Source organism: Homo sapiens, chromosome 15 (assembly GCF_000001405.40).
Source record: "Homo sapiens chromosome 15, GRCh38.p14 Primary Assembly".
Taxonomy (NCBI): Eukaryota; Metazoa; Chordata; class Mammalia; order Primates; family Hominidae; genus Homo; species Homo sapiens.
The window spans coordinates 93,081,847-93,093,913 of record NC_000015.10 but is presented as its reverse complement, the minus strand read 5'-3'; the positions used below and the strand labels follow the sequence as shown (position 1 = coordinate 93,093,913).

Genomic DNA, 12,067 nt, shown 5'->3' with positions numbered 1-12,067 from the left:
TTGCCTCTTCTAAGGCACACGATGGACACAGAGCATCTTTGCTTTTCTTCCTGAACTCCTGTGTGCTTGGCCCACAATCCTGGTATTTTCTTTGCTCTCTGCTCAAATGTACACCCCCATACTTCCATTTTTAAAGGCAAATCTGGCAATGGTTATGAAAAGTAAAAGAGATGATTACTTTTCCCAGGAGGCACCTGCCTCATATCAGTCAACCCTCTGACCTCCCGAGGAGAAGACCACCTGGCTGCCCTCTCCTACTAACCACTTCCAGCCTTCTACCACAACTCCCTGCCTTGCATCTCCAACCCACAGCCACCATTCCTCTTGGTTACACACAATACCACTAATCTTTACATATACTTTACTAAATTATCAGTTCATAATCTCCAACAACATAACCGCCCTACACTAATGTTTAATTCACTGGTTAAATGATCACATTCCCCTTGCAGTCAATATCTCCACCACTCACACTACACCTGGCTTCTGTTTTTTAAAATGACGTAAGGCACCAGCACCATGAGAGGAAGAGTCATACATTCGTTTAATCTACGTGCTGCCTCAAGCACCCATTTTTAGGGCTGACATACGCTGTTGGAAACCCAGCCATACCCCGCCACCTTTGGCCTAGAGGAAACGTTTCCTCCTCGTGTGGCTGTGTGTGACATGGCCAGTGTGTTCCTCATCTCATTAATCCAGAACACAACACCTCCCACAGCTGCTGCTCACAATAAAACCTAATGGCCAACGCCAGAGTCATGCTAATAAGTTGCCCCCTTCACACATTTTTTTAAAACTAGCCAATCCACAACCCCCTCAGGAAAGCCTAAGGGATAATGCCCATAGAACTTAATAAAGGCACAGCCAGCAGGTTCTCTCTATCTCTCCCTGTCTGTCTGTCTGTCTGTCTGTCTCTCTCTCATTCCCTCCTCTCCCAGCTGTTTGAGCTCCCTGCAATCTCTAGACTTCCTCTTCAGCCTCCCGTTGGCACCGCTAACCTCTCCTGGATCTGTAAGTAACATATTTCTTCTATTTCATGCATTTTACATTCACCTCCTCATTGCGTCTCACCTGAACCACACACCCAAACCTAACTTTTCCCAATCAGGGCTCTCCTAGAGTGGCTGTCTTGGCTTATGGCCACTCTTGACAGACCTCAAGACCAAATTAGAAAGAACCCATAACCATAAGAATCACAACACCCTGTCCTCCCTCATCTCTCCAGTGCACACATTCCAACCAGACTCAACACTCCCTATTGAATTTGCCCAACTTTTGCCACCTCTGTGCCCCTATGCAAGTGACTCCCCTGCCTAGGATGCTCTCCCTCCTTCCCTATCAAGCACGCACTACAATCAGATCCATCAGATGGGCCATCAGTGATCATCTCAAGTGACACCTCGTCCATAAAGACTTTCCTAGTCCTTCCAACTAGAAATAATCCCATCCGTCTCCTAAATCCCATCACATTAGATTTCGTTTGTCTCTTCTTTGCTTCTACCTTGCAGCGTCAACTCCAGAGTGTCTCTGGGACCCTCTGAGCTGCAGTCTGACTGGAAGAAAAGGCCAGAGACTGGCCTTAGGTAGCATTTGCACAAGTGCTGTGTTTTATTAGAATTCTACGCGGAGGGTTGCTGATGAGGACAGATAATGGAGCTGCTATGCAATGCCCCCTCAACCCTAGCCACCGAGGCCTATTTACTCCTTCTTTCTCCCACTAGACTGCAAGCGTCTAAGGACAGGGGCTGTGTGCCTCAGGTCAGCACCCTCGGCAGCGTCGAGCCCAGTGCGTGACATGGAGGAAGTGCTTGCCACAAATGCCTCTGGGAGGCATCCCTGCTGGAAGGAAACACAGCTTCTTCTGGTCTGTGCAGAACAAGTAAGTCCTAGCACCTACTCCCGGTTCTTGGCTCACTAAAGCCAAGGGTGGGAGTCAGTCAGTCCTTCCTCAGTAGGTTCCGAGGACAGTTGCTGACTTGCTCTTTCTTTAAGGTGCCTTTTACTTTTGAACCTGAATTTTTCTAGAAAAATGTAATAGGCAGGGCACCCAATCCAAAGGGATGGCCCCCAGTGGCAACCCTGAGTAAAGTAAGGCCAATTCACTGTCACATTGCTTGGTCAATTTCACTATGAATCCACGCTCCGAGGACGCACTCTTGCCCAGTAGGCACCACCCCTCACTGGCAACAGAGAGACAGCAAATTGCTCCGCACCCCAGTAGCACAGGCTTTCCCTGCGCCGGGTGTGGTGCATCCCAGGAGAGCTTTCTCACACCAGGTGGCATCCAGGTGGATCTGGCGACCGCCCAGCAAGCATGTATCCCCTCTCACAAAAGGGAAGAAAAGGAAGAGTGGCCAAGAAGGGGTGGAAACCCCAGTTTTCCTCTATAAATGTGACGCCGGATTTTAACCTCTCCCTCGGCAAATCTACATATCAGACAAAAAAGAAACTAATATAGATATTAGTCTTGTACTGACTTAGACTTTCACTTACCCCGCCCCTTGTTTCTTAATGGCCTTTTTTCTTTTTTTTAAACTCTTGTACCTAGGTTAGCCTGTTTCCTGTTCATATTAAGGAATCCAGGCCCTTTGCAGTAAAGAAAGCCAAGGATACCCTGGAGCTTTATATTAGGAATGTTTCTAGATTGTTGGTTGAAAGCATGTCCATTTCTTAATTTGCACCCTAAACACACTTCACGGCTTCATTTAAATCTGAGCACTCTGTGTATTCCAACTGCCTATGCAGGGTTCTAACTTAACCAAGTACTTAACGAGTAGCATTAATATTCGTTGTCTTCTCCACGGGTGCCTGCACTCATCAAGGTAAATAGTTACCGGCTACCTCCACGGCCCTTGATTGAGCTGAGAATTGTCTGTCCTTATCTAGACAGTGGATTGTTTGTCCCCCACCATGGGAAAACCCTGCTGGTTACTTTCCAAAGGCCTCATTTTAAAAAGACACGTTTCCACTTACAGACCTTTTAAAAATGCCAGGCAATTTGGAAGAACAGTAAGAAATCTACTATCTGCGTGACAGTCATTCAGAGATTCTTGTAGTGTGCCAGGCACCATATTAAGTGCTAGGAATGCAATGATGACTCCAAGGAGTCCTGGTTCCTGCCCTCATGATGCTTATGGTACGGTGGGAGAGGCCAACATGTAGGGAAAGGTCACTCTAATGAGCGCCTAATTACCGAGTGAGCTCAGTGTTAGGAAGGAAAGGCACGGATGTGAGGACTCCCTAGAGGGTGGGGAAGATGTTGGAGCTGAGCTATGAAAGATGAAGAAATTGGTTATTCACTGAATGTCAGGGCACAGAATGTCAGGGCAGGAAGACCACACACACACACACACACACACACACACACACACACACACACACCCTACTATTCATAGATGAGGAAACTGAGGCCCAGCAGAGCTAGATGACTTGCCGAAGGTCAGAGCTAATTCTAGAAACCCATCCCCAATCCCTTCCTGCTAAACCACTTAATTTTATTTATATCCCAGCTATAGATTATACAAATACACTTGACAAATAAAACGGAGAATATTGAGTTAAAACCACATCTCTGAAGACCACACGCATAAATAACGATCGTGTTTTAATGCGGACGATACCTTTTCATTTTGCAAATCCAGAGTTCTCATCATATCAAAATTCAAGACAGTTTGTTCTGTAAGAAGGGGAAGGTCATAACCCTGTCTAGAATGTACTGGCAAATCTCTCTAACCGTGCAGTGCTAATTTGGGCCTGAGCTGTGTAACCAGACCGACTTCACGCTCCAGCTGGGGTTTCAGATCCACACATGGCGATTGGGTGGCTCTTTGCTGTTTCACAGCAAGGGTCCTTCCCTGGGCTCCCGGAGCCTCTGGGGATTTACTGCTCCCGACGTGGCCGTGTTCAAGCCACTGTGTGCATGCGCTTAATGTTGAAAACATTCTTTTGAAAAGCCCAGGAGATTCCACTCGCAATCTGTGCGTGTGCATGTAAAAGCGCAGAGACTGGAAAGAACCGCGGCAGAGCACACCCTGACCGAAGGTTACCGCGGGGGAGCCGCGGCCGTGGGAGAGCCGCGGCCGTGGGAGGGAGTGCGATACGGTCTTTTCACTCTAGACACTCCTGAGTTATGTACAATTCTACGCAAGAATGTATGCGTGTGTTAGCATGTAATACATATGTATTAGTTTTTTCAGGAAGATTCTTAAACAACAACAAAATCTCTATAGAACAAAGGTGCGTCTCCGCAGAGCGCAACAGCATTTGTCTTGGATGTAACCGCCTTCTCCAGAAATCTCAGAGGAACTCCCCTCGACCACCGCCTAACTGAAGGACACCGTGCGCTCCACCGCAACCCTGCGGGCGATTCGGAAAGTTGGAGGCGCCCCGGGGAGTCGCCGCACTTGCCGCCCGCGCCCCCTAACCTGAGCATTCAAGGAGTCTTGACTTGGCCGCTGGCGCACTCCGCACCCACCCAGCCGGTGCTGATGCGGGAGGGTGGGGCCGCGGCGGGGCGGGGCAACGCGAGCCCGCACCCCGCTCCTCCCCGCCCCTCCCTGCCGGCCCCGCCCGCGCGCGCCCCCCGCCCGCGGCCCGGGCGCCCGGCCCGCCCCCTCCCCTCGGCGCGCAAACGAACCTCGCGACGCCGCGCTCGGCGGCGGGCGGGGGCCGGGCGAGGGAGGGGGCTGGTCCCGGCCGCCCCACTCTGCAGTTGTCTCCCGAGCGCTGGCTGCGCCGCCCGAGCCGCTGGGCCGGGGAAGCACTGGCCGTTCGCTCCCGGGCCGGCTCCGCCAGGCGCTCGCAGGCATGCAGCCCGGGAGCAGGAGGCGCTCCCCGGGCCGCTGCTGAGCCGGCCGGGGCGGCGGGGACCAGCGCCAGCGGAGCCCCTCCCACCTTGCCCCGGGGCAGACGAGCGGCGCCCCGACACCCCCTCTTCTCCCGCAGCCCCGCCAGCGCCACCCCCCGCGGGCCGCAGGGGCTCATGCAGCCGCCAAGGTAAGCGCGGGTCGGGAGCCGGGCAGACCCGGCTCTGACATCTCCGAGGCGCCGCCGACACATGCCGGGGCCACGGCGCTGCTTTGGTCTTCCTTAGCCCCGCGTCTCATCTTGCTCCCATCTTGCCCACATTTGGAGCTTTGCTGCGCCTCTATCGCTTTAGCTGTTGGCAGCAGGAAAGTTTTTGTGGTTTGGTGTTTGTTCTTTTTTCCTAAAATACTCTCCCCCGGGCAGCCGCCAGCGCGCGTGGTTGGGCAGACCCGGCACACGTCCCTTACACCGTGTGCGGGCTGGGAGCTCCTTCCCTCAGCCCGGCTCGCGGAGCCCCGGACGGAGCCGGCCACCCGACTGTCCCGCCGTGAACCCCCATTGGCCCGCGCCGCCCGGGCCCCCGCCTCCCGCTCGACGCCCGGCTGCGGAGCTGCCTGGCCATCTCCTGCCCTCGGGGATGTCGGCGCAGTGCACCGCGTGGGCTCGCGTCCCGGCGGCCCTTTGCCTCGGCGCGCCGGCGTACGGGAAGGTGCGGACCTTGGATTGAGGGCCGAGGATGCCCATTGCCAAGCCGCCCCGGCTTTCCTAAGTGGACGGGAGGGCACGGCGACGATTCAGCGCCGGCTCGCGCCGCAGCTCAACCCAGGGTACAAGCCCGGGCATGGGGGACAGGTGTATTCAATGGGAGGGCGGGTGTGGGGGACGCTCGGGTGCAATTCGGGATTGCGTCTTATTAATGTAATTGTATTAGACTTGCTCGGAGGTAGAATCAGTTCTCCCAAATTGAGATTTCTAATGGGAGCCTGTGAGCTGCTATTATGTGGTGTGGTTTTGGGAGGTGTTGGGTTGTATTTATTTTATAAATTGGGTGTCTCGCGGGCGGAGTAGGGGAAGTAGCGCCATCTAGCGGAAGTGGTGAGCTGTGCATTCCTCTTAGGCTGCGAAGTTGTTGGGTGTTCTCAAAGTAGTCTCCCGCACAAGGTGGAGAGGCGGGAACCAGCCCTCGCCTCCAGGAAGGAGGCTACAGAAGCTCTCTGAGTATCGACGGTACCAGGGAGAACCCCGACCTCCCATGCTCAGCACATTGAGCTCAGGGGACGAAATTGCGGGTCGTGTTGAGTGGCATGCTGTCACCTAAAGGAGCTCCATCACCTTCTCTGTTTGGTTTTAGACTCTTCCAGCAAAAACGTAATATAAAATGTTAACTGCTGTAAGAAGATGCCCCTTCCGCAGGTATCTGGTGCAGAGATCTTGAAAACCAATGCACAAACCTCTGTCTTCTCCTGTGCATCACAAACGGGTGATTTCTTGGGTGGATTTTGAGCCATGACCCCTAGAAAAGAGAGTAACTGTGCTCCGAAGGGCAACAGGAGGAGAACTGGGAGAGGGCCTCCTGCCCATTTGTGCAGGAACAGAATAGTGTACCCAAACTGGGTTTTGTGGTTTTTTTTTTTTTTTTTTTTGCACATACAAAGAAGGGGTTTCTTGCTGTTACCACAGCAAGTGACAAGCAAGCCCCCTTTACAGGGACATGATCTCCAATTAACAACTGGGGCAGACGTGGCTGGATGGCAAGTTCTGCAGACAAAGGCTCTGGGTGGGGCACCCACACATCCAGGCGGGCTCCACGTTCTCTGTGGCTGGTTTTTGCTGCCACCTTCCAGGCCAGATAATATATTAGCAGTGAGCTGGGCTCACCCGGTTCTGAAGGGCACCCTGGCCCCTTGTAGAGCAGTGTAGTGGTCTACTGTAGTACCCCCTTGAGACTCTCTGGGCTGTGCTGGTAGTGAAAGAGGTCTTAGCCTCCTTTTTTCAAGTACCCTGCTTCCATTATTTCCCTCCCAGGTGTCAGACAGTTGCTTACATTCTCCAATAGACATATGAAATGGTGGGTGGCTGGTCTGCCCCGTCATGCTGTCTCAAACTGTGTCTCCATTGGTAGGTATTTATGTCATCATGAGACTTGTGACAGACGAGGTCTTAGAATAGCTTGGCATCTCATTCAAGGAGGGCACCTTTGACTTTTGCTAAGAAACCTCTGCCTGCTTTCTCTTTTTACAAACCTCCTCCAAGGAATAACTTGCTGCTTCCCAGTGTATGTAATAATAGACAATAAAGGCACAAGAATCTCCTTTTTAATACAATCCCTTGCTCTTCAGCAGCCCTGTGAGAAGCCAAGCCCAAGAATTCTTAGACGAGCAGTTGCAAAATGAAATAAATAGGGACTGAGCATCCCTGACACTGGGACAGGGAGTTTTTCAGCCATTCTTCCAGGGATGCTTGCTGCTCCCAGGAAGCAGGCAGGAATGGGTGCTGGTATTTTCAGTTTCTCAGAAGAAACTGATGGCCAGAAAGCAGAAGGGATATGGCCAGTGTTCTGTGAGTCTAAAGTGCGTTTTTCCCCCTACAACCTTGCTACCAAATGAATTAAGTTCTAGCGCTTGTTTTTACCAAGTATGGTTGCAAAATTTGTTCCTGCCTTGAAGCATGCAGTATAGACATGAAAGAAGGCACGGTCACCGATCCATCAAGAAGCCTGCCATCCAGGGAAAGAGGCAGGAAGTATCCAAGTGCAATTGAGCAAAAACATAGAAGGATTATCTGAAAGCAGCGCAGGCAAATTGGAATCTGTTAGTTCTGTGAAACGAAATGACACTACTCCTTACAGGTAATTATTCTAGAACTTGACTTATAACATCCCAAAGGTAAGTTTAGTTAACTTTTAAGTGTCTGTGGTGTTCCTGTGGCTCTTTTAGGGAATGGCTTTGCTTCCATTATGTAGCCATTCCACAAACTTAACTGAACATAAATTTAACCTGAAGAAGGGAAGCTCCAGGTTTCCCCACCTGTTTGGTATCCAGCCTATCCAAAAGACAGGCTCCTCTTTTTCTTATTTTGAGCAAATGACTGCTCAGTTTCAGCCTCTCTTCTCTTAGCAACAGAGCTATAAAGGAGCAATGAATAGGGCAGTGGAAAAAATTAAGGATTGCCTTACCCAAGTATGCATACAAGGCCAGGCAGAAGTCAGTTTCCTTGGTGACAGATGAACAAATGAACTCTATTGAAAGGATACCCAGTTTCTTAGCCAGGTCCGTCCTGTGAGTAGAAGTGCTGTATCATGTTAGAACCCAGGGGTCAGGAGGCAAGAATGCCTAGTGAGGTGTGAAACTTTACAATTCTTAGGGCAGGAAGAAGAAGGAATTTTAAAAGTAGGGCAGAAATTGACAAAATAAATGCAAATGTCTTTTATAACCTCATATAAAAAGTTTTAAGTCACTGGTAACTGACTAACATAAAAATGTACTATGTACCTACCCAACTTACGAAATGATTATATCCAGATTACCACAGTAAATAATGGAAGTGTAGCAAACAGTTTATGCAGAGAGTGACTACAGAATTGCTGGTTGGATTTACTTTTCTCATTTTTCAGTTGCTTGTTTAAAGCAGTGCTATGAGGTGAAGAACTTTCAGAAAGCAAAATACTGGATTTCCCAGAGCCTGAAAATTAGGCAGAAGGTTTAAAGACTCTGTCAACTATCTGGTCAAAGGAGGCCAATTCCCATAGGTTCTGTGTCCTCTGTGGGCCAAAACAGAGATCAGCGGGTATGAGTAAAAACGCCCCAAAACTCATTGACTTCTGTCTTGGCAGGACATTTTAGTAGTTACCGTCTGTTGTGGCTTCTCCTTATATTTCATTTTTTCATCTTCATGGACTCTTAAGATCAGGGTCTTTGGAGCAGCTCACCCTGGCTGACAGGAACAGTTTGCTCTGTTTCCTGGTAATATTCCATTCTTCTGTCCTTGTGAAACAGAGATATTCTGCCTAATTTCTCAGTAAGAGTTTTGATAACATTATTTTATTCTTAGTGTACATTTCTTCTTGAAGATGGATGCAACCCATTTTTATCCTTTGTAGGTATTTTGAAGAATTTTCTCCTTGATGTCTTTAAACAAGATTAGGTGGAAGCATGCAACGTACATATACCTACCCCTGAAGGCCCCTACACATCCCTCACATTACTAGTATTGTCAGCCACAGTGCATACTCTTCTTTAGGATTCACTCCCCTATTAGACTTTTATACTTTTCTCAACTGATCTGCACCATGATGTGTCTCTCCTCTCCAGATTGTCTATTCAAAAACCCTGAGATAGCCAGGCACGGTGGTTCACTCCTGTAATCCCAGCACTTTGGGAGGCCAAGGCGGGCAGATCACTTGAGGTCAGGGGTTCGAGACCAGCATGGTCAACATGGTGAAACGCCGTCTCTACTAGAAGTGTAAAAACTGGCCGGGTGTGGCGGCACATGACTGTAGTCCCAGCTACTCCGGTGGCTGAGAGAGGAGAGTCGCTTGAACCCAGGAGGCGGAGGTTGCCGTGAACCAAGATCACACCACTGCACTCCAGCCTGGGCAACACAGCCAGACTCCATCTCAAAAAAAAACAAAAAACAAAAAAACAAAAAAACCTTGACATCTGATCGTTTGAGGTGCTTTCACAAAGTTTGGTTCTCTCCATCAAAGTCTGACCCACTTATAAGCTTGTAAGAATAGAAGACCTTGCTGATGAATGCCTTGCCGGAATACCATTCTGCCCGTTCAAATGCTCATCCAAAAGAGGCTTGCTCAAAAACGTCTCCTGGGCAAATGCTGGGTTCCTCTCAGTGACTTAGAAATGTGTTGCCAGTGTGCATTTTCAGCTCTGACAGTGGCAGCCTGAAGAATAGATTCCCCTTACAGGAACATAGCCACGGAACTCTCTCTTCTTCCACGCAGGTTTTTTTCTGGTTGTCAGAGCACACAAAAATGCCCATTTCATTCATAGAATCGTAAAAAGTTACAGGGTTTCCTCAAAATAATTAGTACCTTGAAAATAATAATTAACATTTGTTTGGAAGTTTTGGTGTCTAATGTGCTTTCATTTACATTTTAGTTTAATATCCTTTATGGAAAGAGGTAAAGTATAAATAATAAATAGATTCTTTTGTGCAATTGCATTTTCCTAGGTGGGCTCCCATTTATTGATACAAGGGAAGCAAAGCAAAAAGAGAAGCAAAGCAAAAAGAGAAGCAAAGCTTAGAGGCTGGGCTCACCTGTAGACGTTACGAAGTTCATGATGGCATTCCCTCACAGGTCCAGCCCTGCTAATAACCCCTCACTGCTGAATTTGGGCAGGTCATTTTTGCCTCTGAACATGAGGCTCCTGTGAGTTTAATTTATTTTGTTGTATATCAGTCAGTGCAACTAAAATAGTCTGACATTCAGATTTCAGAATACTGATTTCAAAATGCTTCTCTTGGCTGGGCGTGGTGGCTCACATTTATAATTCCAGCACTTTGGGAGGCCGAGGTTGGCTAACTGCTTCATCTCAGGAGTTCGAGACCAGCCTGGCCAACATGGTGAAACCCGGTCTCTGCTAAAAAATACAAAAATTAGCCGGGCATGGTGGTGTGCACCTGTGGTCCCAGCTGCTCGAGGGGCTGAGGTGGGAAGATCGCTTGAACCTTGGAAGCGGGGGTTGCAGTGAGCTATGATCATGCCATTACACTCCAGCCTGGATGATAGAGTGAGACTTTGTCTCAAAAAAAATAAAAAAAGCTTCTCTTGCTTTCCTGAAACACTTGGTTTTGGTTTTGTAGAGTCTTTGGGTATCCCAAGATCATATGACAAAAAAAGCTACATGTCACCTTCTTCCATGCTATGAGAGTTTTACATTGCTGTTATTTTTCTCTGATAAGGAGCATTTTGAGCAAGTAGATACCTAAGCTCCAGGTGTCTGATTTCTTCATGAGTAAATGGATGCTGTTGGCAGGGTCTCCTGACTTCAGGCCTGGTGGAGAACATACTGGCCCTCTGAGCCTCGGCCGGGAGTCAACAAGAGCAAGGCAAACCCAAGCCAAGATGGCGCACAGGCCCTCCCTTTCTGGGTCAGTGACCAGTCTCTAAAGGCTGAAGCCCATCTGGCTTAAAACTTGAGATGTGCTGTGAGAGGCTTGTGGACTGAAAGAACTCCAATGAACTGATACTGTGGATAGGTTTACCTAAATATCTTCCTGTTGTTTAAGTAAATCTATTTAACTCACATTCGAAGGCTAAGTACTCTATGAATACGTGATCTACAGAATGTCACTTACCATCCAAAAGAAAGACAAACAATTCCATAATCTAATTATTTCAATTTCTTTGGTCTCTAGGATGGATGGGGGAGATTGTTCACGGAAATTTTTCTCTTCTTAAAAAGTTTTTATATTTTTTGTTAATGTCTGGAAAACAGTATATCTCTAAACATATTCCCCTTTCTAATGCATGAGCCGTCATTCTACATGTGGGGCATATTATTGGACTGACAGAAATAAATAAACCATGGGTGAAGATGAGAAGCAGCTGTAGTTTGGTGGGAAAAACACTGCACTTGGCATCTCAAGACCTGGGTTTGAGCCTCTGCACGGCTGCTTGTATTTATGGTCCTTAGACAAGACTTAGAAATGAGTCTGTCTCGTTTGTGAAATGGAAATGGCTGTGCCCGTGGCATAGTTAAGATGACGACGCTGGTTACATGGGGGAGTTTTTTCTAGTAGGTGCCCATCAGGCCTCAAGTATAACTGAAAATGAACTTAAAACCCACCTAGAAGTCAAGGTTATCCGTGAGTCCTTGCAGAACTCTGCAGAGCTCTCCCAAGATCCTGTACATACAAAGGCTGTAGCTGAATCTGGCACATAGTAGGCACTATTGTAGTCCAAACAATAGTTCCTGTCCATGATATAAAATGAATATTGGCAACTACTTATCAAGACTTACTCTATGCCAGGCATCTGTTCTAAGTGGTTATGATTGTATTGACTCATTTAATCCTCACAACAATCTTTTGATAGATCTGCAAATATATCCCTATCTTACGGATGAAATAACTGAGCTCTAGAGAGTCTGTGTTCGGACTGCATGTTCTTAGCCCAGCATGCTATATTGCCTCTGTAATATAAAAGTGAAGAAATTCCCTTAGCCTTGACAAATTTAAGAAAGAAAAACAATGGTGGAAGTGAATGTCACATAAGGTGACACATTTGTTCTTCTTTCTGGAT

General features: G+C 48.3%; 1 protein-coding gene and 1 long non-coding RNA gene across 4 annotated transcripts in view; one reads left to right on the top strand and one right to left on the bottom strand.

Annotated features, from left to right (window-relative positions):
- LOC101927025 (uncharacterized) overlaps window positions 1-4,700 on the bottom strand; it is an 83,190-nt gene extending 78,490 nt beyond the window's left edge. Inside the window, exon 1 of one of the 2 annotated variants that reach the window (XR_007064769.1) lies at window positions 4,637-4,700. This is a non-coding gene — a long non-coding RNA (uncharacterized LOC101927025). Of the gene's footprint in view, window positions 1-4,424; window positions 4,500-4,636 lie in introns of those variants that run through there. The other variant, XR_243235.4, reaches the window with a different exon arrangement.
- Window positions 4,701-4,702: 2 nt separating this feature from the next.
- Window positions 4,703-12,067, top strand: part of RGMA (repulsive guidance molecule BMP co-receptor a) — a 53,941-nt gene continuing 46,576 nt past the window's right edge. Inside the window, exon 1 of one of the 2 annotated variants that reach the window (NM_020211.3) lies at window positions 4,703-4,995. In NM_020211.3, the coding sequence (NP_064596.2) occupies window positions 4,982-4,995 (14 nt within the window). In that variant the 5' untranslated portion in view covers window positions 4,703-4,981. Of the gene's footprint in view, window positions 4,996-5,390; window positions 5,634-12,067 lie in introns of those variants that run through there. The other variant, NM_001166287.2, reaches the window with a different exon arrangement.